Source organism: Homo sapiens, chromosome 12, assembly GCF_000001405.40.
Source record: "Homo sapiens chromosome 12, GRCh38.p14 Primary Assembly".
Taxonomy (NCBI): Eukaryota; Metazoa; Chordata; class Mammalia; order Primates; family Hominidae; genus Homo; species Homo sapiens.
Genome location: NC_000012.12, coordinates 25926829 through 25945559, shown reverse-complemented (window position 1 = coordinate 25945559; position 18731 = coordinate 25926829).

Below are 18731 nucleotides of genomic sequence, written 5' to 3'. Positions count from 1 at the left end.
TAGGTTGAAGAGAACATTGCCAGGAGGCCTTCATCCTTCCAGATGGGCACCATTTGTTGGGTCTTTTTCCGTGGTATGAAGAAAATGAAGCAATGATTAGAAATTGGTCCCTCGGCCGGGCACAATGGCTCATGCCTGTAATCCCATCACTTTGGCAGGCCGAGGCGGGTGGATCACCTGAGGTCAGGAGTTTGAGACCAGCCTGACCAATGTGGTGAAACGCCATCTCTACTAAAAATACAAAAATTAGCTGGGTGTGATGGTGCACACCTGTAATCCAGCTACTCGGGAGGCTGAGACAGGAGAATTGCTTGAACCTGGGAGGCAGAGGTTGCAGTGAGCCAAGATCACCCCACTGCATTCCAGGTTGGGCAACAGAGCAAGACTCTGTCTCAAAAAAAAAAGAAGAAAGAAAGAAATTGATCCCTCATAATAGGCTGTATAGCAGATTCTACTGCAAAGGCTATGGTTGCACAACAGACTTCTTTGAATTTGCTTGCTAAACTTTTACTGGATAATACTGGGATTACAGGTGTGAGCCACTGTGCCCAGCCTCTCCTGTTTAACTGTATTCATTCTAATGTTTACTTACTTCTTTAATTTGTAAAATTGGGTCACTTAGAGTTTTTTTAGCCTATCTTGCCATTTAGCCACTGTTACTGATAATTTGGATGGAAAAGAAAAATAAATTATATCACCTCTCATCTTCAGTGTATATATGTGTTAACTTAGTAAATATAGTATTCTTTCTCGTTCCTAATGAAAATTTAGTTTACGTACTGAAACACTGCAAACTTTTATAAATATTGTGATGTATTTGACCAATACAAAGGATCTTTTTAGAAACAGCAAACAGTTCTCAGATTATAGGAATTACTCATTTAATGATAGTTTCTTCTTAAAAAAAAAAAAGAAAAATGTTTAGTTACCGAATCATAAACAACCCCTTAAAAGACACTCAGATAATCTCATGGGTCAGGAAGATGATGATCAGTATATTTGGTTAATAAAATATAGCATAGAAAGCATAAACCATAAATGGAAAATATAACAGATTGTACCAAAGAGAATACATTGAAATACATTAAGAAATCGGATTTAAACTATGATTGGATCCTTCTTTAGGTGGAAGTTATTTGAGAGAATAATTCCATGAAAATTAAAAATTCATGATTCTTTCATTGTAGGCTAGAAAAATGGATTTAGTCAGCTGAGATTAAGTATGGGGGACTCTACAAGAACCTATGCTAGGATAAGAATATTGGAGGAAAAACAGTGGATGAGGTACCAGATGTTATGGCATTCCATCTTTGTAAATACATGCAATAAAATCTGGTCTATCTAGCTTTCTTTCAACCTAAATGCCACTCACCAATCTCACTACATTTCTGCAGTACTGTAATTGAGGTTTATAATGATGACCCTGACATGACTTGTGAATCATAGCAGAAGATTAAATTATGTTCTGCTTTTTCCTTCATGTATTTAATTATATTTATATTAGTTGCAAACTGGAAATCTGATCTGTTTTAAAACCCTGCTAGATTAACCAGAGCCTCTTTATCAGGGACCCAACCATCCTTAATAGCAGAGTTTATAGTTCATGGGGGGGAAAAAAAACCACCCAGGAACTGATTTTAAAATGTGACATTTGTACTTTCATAGCAAGAATAATTATTACGAGATAATTTGGAATCATCCAGCCACATTTTAAATAACTATAACAAATGTGTTAATAATAAATTCTATATAGCTACTTCTTTTTAATAAGTATACTTCATATTCTGTAGTGAGAAAAAATTTACCTTTGAATAAATAAATCTTCATCTCGGATCTGATAGAATGTGGTTAGTGTCAACAAGATAACAGATATTAGGCATATTTTCAGTTGAATTGGTTTGTATGTAAAAGTTTGGTTTGAGGGTCCCATCAAGCTGCTTCCCATCTCACCTTTGGTTTACCCAGTGATGTATCGTGACCGTGGTGACGAAAAAGGTCTTCTAATAAACGTGAATAAGCATGTGTTATAGGTCAGATTTCCTGCAAGAGGAGCCTGAGACAGAGATTCTTGTTCAAATGTCTTATTGAGAATGGTCTCTCAGGAGAGGGGAATGTGGGAGGTAGAATGGAGCAAGAGGATAAAGCTAAAAAAAAAAAAAAAAGGTGTGGCCCCAGCTGGAGACTGGCTTTGATCTGATCCTGTGGGGAACCTGCTATAGTTTGGATGTTTGTCCTCCCAAACCTCAAGTTGAAATTTGATCCCCAGTGTTGGAAGTAAGGCCTAATGGGCAGTGTTTGGGTTATGGGATAGATGTCTCATGAACAGGTGAATGCCCTCCCTGGGTAGTGGGAAGAAGTGAGTTCTTCCTCTGTTAGTACCTGAGAGAGCTGATTGTTAAAAAGAGCCTGATGCGCTCCACCCCTTTACTGACTCCCCACTGCTGGCTTTCTCTCTCACATGTAATCTCTGTACACATGGGCTCCTCTTCACCTTTGGCCATGAGTGGAAGCAGCCTGAGGTCCCAACCAGCAGCAAGTGCTGGTGCCACGCTTCTTGTACAGTTTGCAGAACCATGAGCCAAATAAACCTCTTTATAAATTACCCAGCCTTGGGCATTCCTTTATAGCAACACAAAACATTCTTTATAAATTCTTTATAAATTACCCATTCTTTATAAATTACTCAGCTTCGAGCATTCCTTTTTAGCAACACAAAACAGACTAAGACAGAACCCTAGAGCAAGAGTGGCACCATAGAGTTGGTCCCCTTGAGGCAAGGAGCCTGGCCTTTTGTACCCCCATTGTCAGTCACTCACTGGCAGTGGGTCAGTGATAACCCCCAGGGAAGGAACTTCTGTTCCCTGAAGGGCAAGGGTAACCTGCCAAGAGCAACTAATCCCACAGCTAGGGATGTGTACCACCCCAAGAAGGGGATCTGGGCAGCGCATCACTTATTCACTACACATGGGAACACTCTCATATATGGGTTAACAGCTGCAGACCAACCCCTAATAATCCTATAACAAGCAAAGCATACTATGGAAAGTACTGCAGCAGCCAAACAACATCCATGACCTTGTTTGTAAAAGAATATATATTCAAAGAATAACTAGGAAAAAAAAAACACAGCTACAGATGGAAAGAATACATCTCCTAACTGGGCTTAGGAACCCTGTCTCCCCTCACCCACCCTTTGTGCCATGGAGTGGCAGCTGGTGGTGGCTTCTGGGACTGAGACAAGGTGCCCAATAGGGGAAGAACTGAGGATGTTAGGAAAATTTAGGATAGGTCTAGACAGTCTGGGATGGGACAAGAGGAGCCTTGGGTTAAGGTTTATGTCTGAGGCCTACTTGCCTGTCTCCTTCTTTCTTGCCTCCCACTAGCCCTAGAAATATGCTTGCCTGCTTATCTTTCCTCTGCCAATACCTGCTGCCTACTAGGACTGCTATCTTCCCTAGCCTCCTCTGCAGTCACCTCTGTCCCTCTTCAGACAGTTTTTCCACCACTTTTCATATAACAACATTCAACTTCAATTTCCCTGACATTTTCTGGTAGTTTGACAGTTAAATAATATAGGGAGGGGGAAGAGAGTAGACATCCTTCCCATGCTCTTCCCCTTCTTAAATCAATTTTTAAAATTTATTTTATTTTAAAATTTTTATTTATTTTGAGACTGAGTTATGAGTGGCTAATTTTTGTATTTTTGGTAGAGAAGGGGTTTTGCCGTGTTGCTCAGACTGATCTTGAATTCCTGGCATCAAGCGATCCACCTGCCTCAGCCTCCCAAAGTGCTGGGATTATAGGCATGAGCTATCACGCCTGGCCCTCCTTCCTAAATTTAGCTTGATGAGCTATACCCAGCAAGGATACTTCGGATGGTTTTTTTTGGGAAAAACGAAGACCATGTACTTGATTCACCTGAATTTCACAGGAGTGCCTAGAGGTTGTCCTGGGAGGTGCTGGGTGAAGGCTTCAGGTGCAGAGAGGGAGTGGAGGAGGTGGACAGGAAGCTCCAGAGGTGGGACAGGAGCTTGGCATACCTCCAACAACCTCAGTACCCCCTTCTCTTCCCTCCCCAGGCCCTTCACCAGCCCCAGACCTTCTGCTGAAGACACCATTTCAGACATTGACAACAGGATGGGTGGGTGTGGGGCAAGAGTGGCAAGATAATCGGCTACTGTGGGCTCTGAAGGAACAGAGAAAAATCATATTTTTTTCTTTTTTTTTTTTTTTTTGCTCTGGGAAAGGAAAAGAAATTCCCTTTACTCCAAGGCTGGGGTAGAATTAAATGACTCCAAGAACTACTGATACAGAAATGAGAAATGCTACCACTTTGGCTGGAATCAGAGCATCTGATACTGTAATTGGCTAAGCAAGGGACCTGGGTTGGCCCCCAGCAGCACAGTCTGCATGGGCACCATGTGGCATGGTGGAAGGCAGGGGGTGAGCTAGTTAAGACATTTACGGGGTCATCATCTCACCCCTACCACCTTCCAAGAGAAAGCTTTCACTTCCTGTTGCTCTTCAGTCTCTGCAGAGAGCCCAGCCTTCCTGACCTGTATGGGAAGTGAGACAACTGATTTATAAAAAGAACTCTAAGACCCTTTTCTGGAGAGATTGGAAAGATACCAAGACAGATCCTAGTTCAGACCCTGGCTCTGCTTCTTTCTACCCAAGTGATCATGAGCAAGTTGTTTAAGTTCTCTGGTGTTAATTTTCTGCCCCCCTTTTTTTGCACTGATAAAGAAAAGAGGTTTAATTGGTTTATCACAGTTCTGCAGTCTATACAGGAAATGTGGCGCCAGCATCTGCTTAGCGTCTGCTGAGAGCCTCAGGAAGCTTCCAGTTCTGGTGGAAGGAAAGGGGAGCCAGCCGTCACACGGTAGGAGTGTAAGAAAGAGAGGGAGAGGGGGCCGGGCGCAGTGGCTCATGCCTGTAATCCCAGCACTTTGGGAGGCCGAGGTGGGTGGATCAAGAGGACAGGAGATCGAGACCATCCTGGCTAACACGGTGAAACCCTGTCTCTACTAAAAATATAAAAAATTAGCTGGGCGTGGTGGTGGGCGCCTGTAGTCCCATCTACACGGGAGGTGGAGGCAGGAGAATCGCTTGAACCTGGGAGGTGGAGGTTGTGGTGAGCCGAGATTGCGCTACCACACTCCAGCCTGGGTGACAGAGCAAGACTCCGTCTCAAAAAAAAAAAAGAGAGAGAGAGGGAGATGGAGCAGGAGAGAGGAGGATGAGAGAGAAGGAGAGAGAATGGCCTTGACTTTCTTATCTGCAAAAACAGAAGGGGGTGGCAGGAAGGGGAAGATGATATTAGTGGCACACGCAGAGTTATTGTGAGGATCAATCAGAATATGTGTAAAGTACAGTGCCGGGTATATAAGTATTGTTATAACATCATCATCGTAATAATTGTTATTATCTGTGGGCTCTTTGGTAAACATATACTTTCATCAAAGCAAATAGTTTTCTATTTTAGTATATTCTGTGCCAGGCACTGTTCTAAGTGCTCACGTATTAACTTTTTTAATCCTCATAATAACTCTTATAAATTAGGTACTATTATTATATCTATGTTGTAGATTCAGAAGCCAAGGCACAGAGAGATTAAGTAATTTGCCCACAATTTCATCCTTAGATAGTGGCAGGGCTAAGATTCAAACCCAGGAAGTCTGGCTTCAAAGCCTGCATCTGCCACTGCAATAGATAGTTAAAGAGTGATGCAATAATCAAAGATAACTGATAGAATTGGCACCAGCTCAAGGTGAAAAGATCAGAGTGGAATTGTAAATTGAGAGTCTGGATTAGGCAGGTTCCTTTCGCCTGGTGCCCAGAGTGTGCTGAGGGTGAGAAGTCAGTGAGGATTGGGCGGGTCCCACAACATCAAAGCCTCACCATGGACTGTTCACCTTGCAAAGTAAGTTAATCTACTTTATTTTAGAGTGACTGGTAAGTTTCCAAGTCTCTTTCCAAGCAAACTGGGAAAATAACCCATGGATGACTATGACTAAGATAACTATATGCATTTTACTCTTTTCTTTTACCAGGTAGAAGGCCATCCTAGGAAACAATCCCATGAGTGATGTTTCATGAATTATCTTCGTGAACCGGAGCAAGTCGCTTTGCCTTCCTGAACCTTCTCTGAGATGGAAGGGTGATCTGAAAATATGCCTCCCGGGTAAACCTCAGCCCTGGCTGGCAGATCTGGCTGGCTAATGGGACTCCCCTTTTCCTCTCCATGGCTCCTGTGCCTCCCCCTCAAGACTGTGTGTATTCCAAGAGGACTACATTCCCAGGTGGGGTCGTATTGTTCTTATAATGAAGGCTTACAGAATTTCCTCGAATGTTGCATCTAGTTTTAGCGTTCTGAATCTGTGAATCACAAATTAGAATTGGTGCCTTTGGAAGAGGAGATGGGACATGAAGCCTGCTCCACCTTCTGATAATGCCCTAAAGAGCAGCTCAAAATACAGCTAAAAGAACCCAGAAAACAAAATAGGTAAGTCTTGAAGAGAGATCAACATTAGGAACACAATATTCACTGAATATAATTCTGTGGTCTGTTTTATACTTTATTTTATGCATTCACTCCTAGTATTTAATTTATGTATCAATTTCTGAGAATTGGTTTCCAAAAAAGTCATTATCCAGTGAACTCTATTAGTCACTAAAGCTTTATAACAAATAAATTAACAAAACATTGTTACCCTAAGAAGGAATAGCCTCTTGTCACTTGTTGCCCCTTGGCTCTCAAAACTGGAAAGTCCACATGCTTATAGTGGTTATGATAGTTTATCAAACTGAAGAAGAAGCCTGAACAACACTCCAGTGATTCCAGACACAAGTAGATAATCTATTCAGCCCCATGTAGTTTCAGAGAGTAAACGAAGATAAGGAAATTTTTTTCTTCTCCTCAGGGCAGAGATGTTTTTCAGTTCTTCTTCTTTTTTTTTTTTAATCTTAGCACTTGATATTCCCTTGGGAAGTGTTGGTTACAACAAAACACTATTTATTAGAATCCAAGTATCTGAAATTAATCAAAGATAGATTAGCATGCCAGTGTCCCCTTTCCTCTTTTGTTATAAAAGAGCAATAGTCATTTTACTATTGCTAAATGTCATTTACATTTAGTCATTTACTAAAAATTAGTAAAAAATTTCTTAATATAAGCATAAAGTTACAAAGGCAAAGAGAAGATGTACTGGAAGGTAAATAGGCGTGGCAGAGGTTTGAAAGGCTGTTAGGCACTGGATTATAATCCTTCTAGGGTATGGACAACATCTGGGTGTTATTTTCTCTTTCATAGTCAGTTCAGTACTCACTGTGCATGAGAGGTGCTTGAGTGAGTCTTTGTTAGATAAATGAAAAGCAAATTAATCCACTTTTCAGAGCTCTCTTCGGAGACCTGAGCCTGAACAAGACAATTCTCTAAAAGACAGAATATTTGGGAATGAAAAATAGGACATTAGAAGATGCTGTTTGTTACTTTTTAAATCCCTTTTCATCCTGGCTACGCTAACTCTACCCTCAAGGGCAGGAGAACAGAGGACCAGAGATGGCTCCAGGCAAGTTGTGAGCTGTGTGGCATCAGCATCTGTCTATAGTGGTGATGCTGGTGCTGACATGTGGTGGTTTATTTAATCTATTTGGGCCCCAATATCTGCATGTGTAAAAGGGAATGATGATAATGAGTATTTTCCAAAAAATATGGTTGAAGGATTAACTGTATTTGAGATAGAGTAGGCCTCAGTTCGTGTCAGCTATTAGCCTTAGTCTGTCTACAGGAACCAGAAGTTTCAGGTTGGGAGAAGCCTGGCCTTTTAGTGAGAAGCTTTCTTGTGGTGGGACAAGATGTTGGTGTGAGACCAGAAACTCAGCCTCTCAGGAGCAGAAAAAGAGGGGACTCGATGTTCTGCTGGTGATTCTGAGATGAGTGTTAACATCAGATGTGGCTGTTAGTCCCCAGAAGGACAAATATAAATGTTTCCTTCATGCTCTTCTTTGTTTTTGTTTTTGGTTTTTGTTCCTTCTGCTGATAAATATTCTTACTCAGAGGTTATTACTGCAAATAATAATAAAAAATACTGGTAAACCAGGCCTCTGATGTGTTATTGTTAAAAAAAAATCAATGTTTTATTCACAGTCTGAGTACAGACTTGGCTTTATTGTTCTGAAAGAATTCTGCATGGCAGGGCAGGGGCTGAGCAAAAGATTAATGTTCAAAGGATTTATTAGTGTTGACTGTGAGTATCTGTTTGTGTTTGTCTGTAAAGTTGGCTTGGTAGTCAGAATGTATGGGAAAACCTTCTAAGAGTCATATGGCAGCTTTTCAAAAACTCTGTAGAGCTGGGTACACAATTTCCCTGGACTCACTCCCATCTAAGCAGCCTCTATCAGAGGGACCAGAGCAGCTGTAAGATACCTGTTCAGGACAGATGTGCATAGGCCTGAAGCAGGATACTGCATCCCAAGCAACCACAGACTGCCAAGAAAGTTTCCTGTCATGGCACAACTTAAGCTGAAAAAATAGCATCACAGCCTGAGCTGGAAGGGGTCCGAGAGCTGCTATCATCCAATCATCCAATCCCTTCATTTTCTAGTTGAGGAATCAAATCTACACATCTCTAGCGACCTGCCCAAGATAATGCAGCTAATTAGGGTCAGAGTTAAGATTTGAGACAGAATACAGAAATTTTTTTTTAAAGCCTTCTGTACTGACATTTGTTTTCATTAAATTTGATACCACTTCTATCCTTTGTCAACTTTTATCGCTGAGAAATAATTAATGTTGCAATAAGCTGGAATCAAAGAAATTGGTGAGAGAAATTGTGCTGACATGTTTGGGGTTGTCTTTGTATTCTCTGAAACCACAGAAAACATTTGATTAAACAGTTTGCAGCCAATGTGACAATTTATGTTTATTTTCAAAGGGGACTGTCATTTTCAGAAGTTAAAGAAATCTTTGTTTCCTGTTTGGGCTTTACAGTCTGGGCTCGTGATACTCATGGTGATGGGTTATTGTTGCTTGTGCCACTGTTAAACCAAGTACTGCTTTGAAAACAATTCAAGGCCATTTTAGAGGAACCCAAATGTCAGGTCTGTCTGATTATAGTACACGCAGTTGTCAAGCTAGAAAAACCAGCATCCGTTGGTGAGCTTTGCTGTCCATGAGCTGTGAGGAGTCAGTCAGGTTCCTAGGGAACAGCCCTCCACTGTATTTAAGACATAGGGCTCACTCCCAGATCGAGCTGCTCCAAATTGCCATTTTACTCAAGATCAAGCATATCAGAAGTCATGTTGTAAGCAGTAGGGGAACTATTAAATTGAGCTGAAATAGAACAGCTAGAAAGAAGAAAATAAATGTGTACTTAAAAGATGCAAGGAGGCTGGGCCTATTCACCAGGGTCCTCCTGTGCAGAGGTAGTAGCTTTTTGTTTGCCCTGGACTAGTTTAAGAATCCTCTGCCACGAAGATTCTTTTAGTTTGCATTTTAAGATGTTATCCTTGTCATAATTTTAAACCATGAACTTTCCTTGTGCCAATTAAAGAAAAATGAAATAGAGGTCAGCCTCTCCCTGAATTCCTTTCAGCGCGTGAACATTCTTTCTCTACACATGGTCACTTGCACACTGCCTCCCCAGCCCGAGACCCACACTGCAGGCACTAATTGAATTCCTGATGGTTGGGCCAGGGAAAACTCAGTTCCAAATTGCTCTACTCCTTTCCCCTAAGAGATCACGCATATGTCAGTCTTTGTCCCTTGCCCTAACCCTCAACGTTGTCCTTCCTCTGCCATCGCTTTCTTTACATGCACATGTAGACATAGAGACTTGTACTTGGAAGCCTTTTCCTCCTTTCTGCTGCCTCCCAGCTCTTTCCTGTTTCCTTACAGAATCCTCTCCTCCTACACTTCCATTCATTATTTTCTCCCTCCCATTTTGTTCCCCAGATCTACCTCTAACACAAAGCTGATAAGCATATGAATTTTGCTTGTGATAAACCTTGAAGGAAGAAATAGCAAAGTCATGCATTTTGGTGTGTGTTCAAATAAAGAACCACTGCCACAATGCTTTTGAGAATTTACTTTATATTGAAGCCTTCATTTCCTACTCCCTGTTCCCTACCATATGCTTCTCTAGTTGCACTTAATTTCCTTATTAAAAATGTACTGGCCGGGCACAGTGGCTCGTGCCTGTAATCCCAGCACTTTGGGAGGCCGAGGTGGGCAGATCACGAGGTCAAGAGATCGAGACCATCCTGGCCAACATGGTGAAACCCCGTCTCTACTAAAAATACAAAAATTAGCTGGGCATGGTGGCGCACACCTGTAGTCCCAGCTGCTTGGGAGGCTGAGGCGGGAGAATCGCTTGAACCTAGAAGGCAGAGGTTGCAGTGAGCTGAGATCGCACCACCGCACTCCAGCCTGGTGACAGAGCAAGACTCCGTCTCAAAAAAAAAAAAAAAAAAAAAAAAAATGTATTTTATGGCCAGGCATGGTGGCTCACACCTGTAATCCCAGCACTTTGGGAGGCCTAGGCAGGAGGATTGCTTGAGCCCATCTCTACCAAAAATTAAAAAATAAAAACAAAACAAAACAGCTGGGCGTGGTGGTGCATACCTGTAGTTCCAGCTACTGGGGAGGCTGAGGTGGGAGAATTGCTTGAGCCTGGGAGATCGAGGCTGCAGTGAGCTGTGATTGTGTGATGCGCTCCAGCCTGAACAATAAAATGAGACCCTGTCACACACACACATAAAAAGTACTTTAAAATTTTTTCTAGTTAACAGTTTTTCCGTTTTGAGTGCTATAGTATAGTATTGTCTTCCACTACTTTTCATTGCCGATGTAACGCATAAAATAAATAAGCCCTTTTGAAATAATTTTGGAACCTGGCCATTTTTAGAACATTGTTTCAAAGAGAAAATGAATTTCCAGCTTTTAGAACATGATTTATTTTAAGTTGGCTATTTCCTCTGTGTGTTTGGTAACAAAAATATGTTTGATGTGGTGACATAAAATCAGAGAGGCCTGCCTTGATTTTTACCTTGTTAAATATGTTCATAATAGAAAAAAATTAACCTTTTATTTCTTATATTTATTTGTGTTTGTATAGCATTCTTAGAGACTGTATTAGTCTGTTTTCATTGCTATAAAGACATGCCTGAGACTAGGTAATTTCTGGAGAAAAGAGGCTTAATCGACTCACAGTTCCACAGGCTATACAGAAGGCATGGCTGGGGAGGCCTCGGGAAACTTATAATCATGGCAGAAGGTGAAAGCGAAGCAGACACAATCTTCACATGGTGGAGCAGGAGAGAGAGAGCAAAGAGGGAAGTGCTACACACTTTTCAACCATCAGATCCCATGAGAACTCACTCACTATCATGAAAACAGCAAAGGGGAAATCCACCCCCATGATCCAGTCACCTCCCACCAGGTCCCTCCCCCAACATTGGGAATTACAATTCAATATGAGATTTGGGTGGAGACAGAGATCCAAACCGTATCAGAGACTTTGCAATGCATGTTGCTAATTATTTATAATTTTTCATAATCAAAGAGTATATGGAGACTGCAGCTTTCCACTATTTTTGTTCTTCCCCTCTTCCTGGGCATATGGAGAGACTTTATTTTCCAGTCTCCCTTGTAGTGAGGTGTAGCCATGTGACTGGATATTTGCCAATGGAATATGAGTGTGGGAGACTTGAGGAACTTCTGCCTCATCTGCATGAGAGGAAACCTCTGGCCAGGGACTCCTCTTTACCCCATTCCGCCAGCTGGAATGCCCATGGCCAGAGCACCCTGGAAGCTGACTGTTGGTGACAGAGCCTCTGCCAGCCTGGTCTCCAGTGACTGATGGGCGCAGAGCTGCCCACCACGCTGAGACACTTACCTGGGTTGTTACCTGGGACACCAATAAACTTGGCTGTTCTTTGAGCCACTGAATTTTGGAGGTTCTCTTTCATACAGCAGCTTAGCTTACTCTATAATACTATGACAAAAGAGAGTTTACAAGTTGTCCTGTTGGAAACGATTTTACCCCAATATACTGAAAAATCAAAATATATAAGCAAAAAGTAATTTTCTTCAGAAAATAAAGACCTAGACATTTGTAACTATTTTACTTCGTTTTGATCATGAATTTCTTTAAACATTAAGAAATTTATAAGGCTAATTTAATCTTCCATTCAAACATAAAAATTTACCAAAGCCAGACATATTTCCCAAAGAGCTGTTATTTGAAAGGGGCAATTTGTTCTGGCCTTCGTTATGTCTATTAAAGGAAAATGAGTAACAGACTACCCACCTCAGAAGCACATTTCTTGGATCTAGTATCCTGTGATAATCCCATTTTAATTAGGACCAAATTCTGTTGTGATGAACTGCCCTCTCAAGAAACAAAACCCTTCACGGGTCACTTGGTAATAAAATAACGAAGCATAAAGCAAGGTTAACATCATTAAAATTTTTAAAAAGAAGTGTAAATTGGAATAAGGGTAAAATCATACCCGCTCATGATTTGTTTCTTATTTCCACAATTTCCACCACAACTGGTGTCATACTTCTTACAAATTGCTGAATATTTTTGTTTGTACATTTGTCGGTTTGCTTTGTTTTTCCTCACAAAGCAAAATATCATCTAAAGTTTAAGTTTTTTTGTAAAGTTATTTAATCAAAATATGTATTATCAAAATAATATAAAGTATGAAAGTTAAAATACACAGTGCCAAATTGGCCCATGGCTAAAAAACAAACATGTAGGCTCCGAATGAAGTCAAGATAAATTCATTTCTCACAGTCCTAAAATTTAAGATGTAGGGAAAGGGGTTACAGAAGAATCCGTAGCCTTGATCACCTCATAAAAACTAAGTGAATATTATGATATTCTTCATGGAACTCAAAATTCTGAATGAGGTCTGAGAAAATACATTTAAAAGGATAAGATGGGCTACAGGAAAATAATTCATTCTTGTTTAACATATTTGGAACTCATAGCAAACTCATTGTACCTTTTTATTTTTTAATGTAATAATGGACTTTAACTCTCTCTTCCTGTACTAGAATGAGTATGGTAATTGTTAAGTAGATCTTTATTACTCATATGAAGCTTTCTACTGTAGTCTTAAACTGACACCTGTGAGACTTTGTGTCTCAGTAAACATTGGATCCCCTCTTCTACCCACTCCTGGCTGCCCAACTAAGCTAAATAGGAGCACCATAACTAGGCACCAGAATGACAAGAGAGCGCATGGGTAGCAGGCGGGGTGCAAGATGATATGGAATGTAGATCTGAAAAGAATCTTGATGAGTTTTCTAACCATTTTCTTTCTTTTTGTGTTGAAATATATAAGCAACACATTATAGGCAATTGACTGCTGTGTGGCAGTCCATCTAGAGTCTTGTGCTGAAAAGTCCAGAAAATTGAGTTACAATGTTGGCTTCAGTACGACTTAACTCCTTGACAAATCCCAGGCTGAATCTCAACATCCTTATATGAAAATGGGAATGCTGTATTCACACTTGTTTTCCCCAAGTCCACTTTAGACAAATCTGTACCTGTAGGAAATAACACAAAACACAACTCTGTTTTAAAATAAAAAGAGGCTGGGTGTGATGGCTCATGCCTGTAATTCCAGCACTTTGGGAAGTCAAGGTGGGAAGATTGCTTGAAGATAGGAGTTCAAGACCAGCCTGGACAACATAGTGAGAACCTGCCTCTAAATAACTAGATAGATAGATAGATAGATAGATAGATAGATAGATAGATAGATAGTCCTAAAGAAAAAGCAAAATCCCAGCAGGGAGGGGGAGTAAATGGCTGAAGAGCATGAGTGCTGTGGGAATCTATAGAACAGGGGTCTGCAAACCACCTGAGGGCCAAATCCAGCCTGCCATATGTTTGCAAGAGCTAAGAATGATTTTTACATTTGTAAAGATTTTTTTTAAAAAAAATTCAGATAAGACTATTTTGTGGTACATGAAAATTATATGAAATTCAAATATCAGGCTGGGCGCAGTGGCTCACGCCTATAATCCCAGCACTTTGGGAGGCTGAGACAGGTGGATCACTGGAGCCCAGGAGTTTGATACCAGCCTGGGCAACATAGCTAGACTCTGTCTCAATAAAAAAATAAAAATAAAAAAAATTCAAATAGCAGTGTCATGACAGAGACCATAGGGCCTTCAGAGCCCAAAAGAGTTACTAACTGTTCTTCATAGATAAAGGTTGCCAGTCTTTTCTCTAGAATATTCAAGGTGGAAATGTCCAATTGGCAGTTAGAATTTAGATTTTGGAACTATTCACAAAAGCAATAGTTTAAAATGTGGGAATCGACGAAGTCAAGGAGGAGATTAGAGAACAGAGGTCTGGAGAAAGCACCTGGTGGGAGATGTCTTCTGAGAAGTTGGGAGAGGAGAGAATAGAGAAGGCACAGGAAGAGCGTGATAGGCTCCCAAAAGCCAAACCAGGGGTGAGTTCCTGATGAGCTGATACATAAAAACAGACATCTCAGAGAGATCAGGTAAATTGAATCCCTTTTTAGTTCATTGGATTTGGCGGTGGTTAGAGGTCATTGGTTACCTCTGAGAACGTTTCCATTTCTGTGAAACAGTGGCGCATTAGCCAGTTTTCAAGAGCTTCTGGAGTGAACAGGTTTACCCTGGAAAGGAAACTAGGAAGATAATAATCTGAAGGGATTACAAAACCAAGGGAAATTGACTTTTGTTTGCTTACTTGTTTGTTGCCTTTTGTAAGAGAGTACTGAGAGTGTTTATTGGCCTAGCAAAAGCATTCAAGAGATGGAGGTGAAAAGAGGAGACAGAGCAGAGTAAAGGTGAGGGAAAGAAATGGAGAAAAGATTGATGAGATGACCAAGTTGCAAGCAATACCACTCCCTCTGAAGCGAAATGAAGGAAAAATGTGAACATACAAAGAAAACTTGAGACGGAATGCGGGAAAGGTGTAATGGCAGTAAGTGGCAAGGCCGCCTGCATAGAATAAGAGAGCCGGGAGTATGATGAGGCGTGCCATCCTGCAGGAAGCTGCAGACGGCCCACTGGAGAGTATGAAGACTGATGAGGAGAAGCATTTGAAATACGTTCGTAACCTTTCCCTAAAATCTGGATGCTTAGGTGTGGAGATGGAAAAGAAAGTTGAGATGATCAGGGCTGTAATTAATGTGGAAGCATCAAGAAAAGTTACAGGTTGGAATGAGGCTTCACGAAGACAGTGTTGAAATAACTTGTCCTGTCAGGTGCAGTGGTTCATGCCAGTAACTCTAGCACTTTGGAAGGCCGAGATAGGCAGATTACTTAGGGCCAGGAGTTCGAGACCAGGCTGGAAAATATGGCGAAAACCTCCCTCTACCAAAAAAAAAAACAAAAACAAAAATTAGCTGGGCGTGGTGGTGCACAGCTGTACTTTCAGCTACTTGGGAGACTGAGGCATGAGAATCACTTGAGCCTGGGAGATGGAGGTTGCAGGGACCTGATAGCATACCGCTGCATTCCAATCCAGCCTGGGCGACAGAGAGAGATCCTGTCTCAAAAAAAAAAAAAAAAAAAAAAGGAAAGAAATCACTTGACTTGACCTGGAGTCCAGACTCCTTGGTGAAGCAAGGGAAACTAAAAGAATGTGATTAGCTAGGATTAGAAAAAACAAACAAACAAACGAAGAGCCAGGCATGGTGGTGTGCACCTGCAGTCCTAGAGACCCAGGACATGGGAGAATTGCTTGAGCCCAGGAGTTTGAGGCTGCCATGAGCTATAATTGTGCCACCATAGTCCAGTCCATGAGGCCAAAGTGCCACTTCTTTAAGGTGAAGGGATGTACAAAAGATAGAAATTAATGAAGATGAAATCAGAAAGGATCATCATCACGACCACCAAATTTAAAATCTTAGAGTATTGATCATAAGGTACAAGGCTGGCCATTCTGGTGGGTTCTGTGGATCTCAGAAGTAATCGGAAGATGCCACTCCGGGAATGTCTGCTTGACCCTGGGAGGCTATTGCTCCTCAGGAAGCTTCCAGGGATCCTCCCAAGGTCCTGCAGGTGGAAGACAAATAGAGAACAGACAGGCGATGTCTGCTGTTGTCAATGGCAATAAATCACAAAGGAAAGCCTTTGCCAGGAATCTTAAATTGAACCTAAGGGGTTTAGTTGAAACTGAGTAGTCCTTTGGAAGGGAACTGAACAATGACTCAACTCATTGACTTTGGCTCACTGGGTCCCCTTTCCCTCCCTCCCAGGGTAACTGAGATTGAATGAATAATAGCTGTGAAATACTCCCTTGAGAACAAGACTCCTACACACTAATAAAAACTAAATGCTTTCATTACAATTTAAGTGAATGACTTGCTACCCTAAAAAATGCCTCATAGTGAATGGCATAAGAGTGACACTTCCCCAAAATGTTACACATTAATATTAATTTATAGCAGAATCATGAATGTCTACACATTTTATTGATTGAAAATTAATTTGTGTAAACATTTGGGGAATGTTGGGAGGGAAGTCAATAAATACATGAAGTATTCAATTATTTGAACTACTTAGGTATAAGCAAACATTTACTATAGTATCATGGAAGAGTACATTCAGCACATTGAATAACTACTGATATTTTGGAGTCATTTGAAATGAAAAACATCTTTGTTCTCTCAGATCCCATTTCACCTCTCCTTTTCCTTCCCCTTGCCCCAATCCTTCCAATCCCTACTGTCTTTAAATATTTATTTCAGAGATATGGCAAAGATGGGAAGGAAAAAATTCACTTATTCCAGAAAGCAGCTAATTTCCTGGTCTTCATGACATAAGCATACTAGCTCTCCCGCACTGAAACAAATTGGATGACAATTTTAGGATAATTGAATTGCTTGATGCTTTTCAAGTTGTTAGGGAATCAGTGCTGTGAAAACCAATTTTTTTCAGTGCTACCTATACTGTCCTGTGATAGGAGATTTTCTATTTACCCATTCAAAACAAAACACAGAGCAAAGATTTATAGATTTGTGAGTGATTTGTGTTATATATACAATGGCAGTGAAAATGAACACCTGGTAAACTAAATTAAAACAAACTAAGTTGTCCGAATTTTCAATTAATCAGATATCATAATTAGGAAGTGACAAAAATCTGCACAAAAGAGATGTGTATATCCTAATTTAAAATGATTTCAGGGCCAAATAGCAACCTGTTTTGTTTTTTTGTTTGTTTGTTTTATGAGACAGGGTCTTGCTCTGTTACCCAGGCTGCAGTGCAACGGTATGATCATGGCTTACTGCAGGCCCAACCTCCTGACTCAAGCAATCCTCCCATCTCAGGCTCCCAAGCAGCTGAGACCACAGACAGGTACCACCACGCCTGGCTTTTTTTTTTTTTTTTTGGTATAGACAGAGTCTCGCCCCTATATCGCCCAGGCTCGTCTCAAACTCTTAGGCTCAAGTGACTCACTTGCCTTTGCCTCCCAAAGTGTTAGAATTACAGATGTGAGGCCAGACATGGTGGTTCACACCTGTATTTCCAGCATTTTGGGAGGTGGAGGAGGGTGGATCACTTGAGGTCAGGAGTTCGAAACAAGCCTGGCCAACATGTCAAAAGCTCATCTCTATTAAAAATACAAAAATTAGCCGGGTGTGGTGGCGGATGCCTGTACTACTCGGGAGGCTACTCGGGAGGCTGAGGCAGGAGAATCACTTGAACCCTGGAGGCGAAAGTTGCAGTGAGCCAAGATCATGAGATTGCACTCCCTCCTGAGCGACAGATCAAGACTCCGTCTCAAAAAACAAACTAAAGGATTAAAGATGTGAGCCCAGCCAGCAGCCAGTTTTGGATGGAGATGGGGATAGTAGGGTTCTGAGTTATGAAACAATTGATAATGTTACCAAACAAAATGGTTAGTAATCATAGAAGAGACTAAGTCATGAAAAGAAAATTTAAGGGGCAGAGACAAGCCATGAATCTGAACAGAAATGGAATGATTTAGGTCTCTGGCTCTCACACTTGAACATGAATCAGAATCACCTGGAGGACTTTTTAAACCACCAATTGCTGGTTCCACTCCCAAAGTTTCTGATGCAGTAGATCTGGGGTGGGGCCTGAGAATTTCCATTTCTTTTTTTTTTTTTTAATATGAGATGGGGTCTCACTATGTTGTCCAGCCTGATCTCAAACTCCTGAGTTCAAGTGATCTTCTCACGTCAGCCTCCCAAAGTGCTGAGATTACAGGCATGAGTTACCATGCCTGGCTAAGAATTTCCATTTCTAAGTTCTCAGAAAATGCTAATGCTGCTGGTTCTGGGACCACACTTTAAGAACCATTAACTCAGAGCAATATCTAGAGGCAGAAACATTTAATAAGAAAGTGTTGAAGACAGTGAGGGGAGATAGAAGAAAACTTATTGGAGGGAACTAAAGGGAAGAAGAAACTAGGATAATGGAGTGATCACTAAATTAAAATAATAGAAAAGGTAAATTTTAATTGAATGCCAAGCCTTGTGCTAGACACTTTATATATTCCCAACCTTGCCAGGTTGATAAAATAATGATAAACTCCAGAAGAGGAACCAGAAGATGCACAAAAACTTGACAAATATGTGTGGAAATGGTGGCTATTGTAAAATAACTATCCGAGGTCAACATGGTTAAAAAGGCGTCTTGAGTTCTAAGCCACTTAAGAGAAAGACAAGGAATAGGACAGATGGAGATCAAAACACCATACAGTACT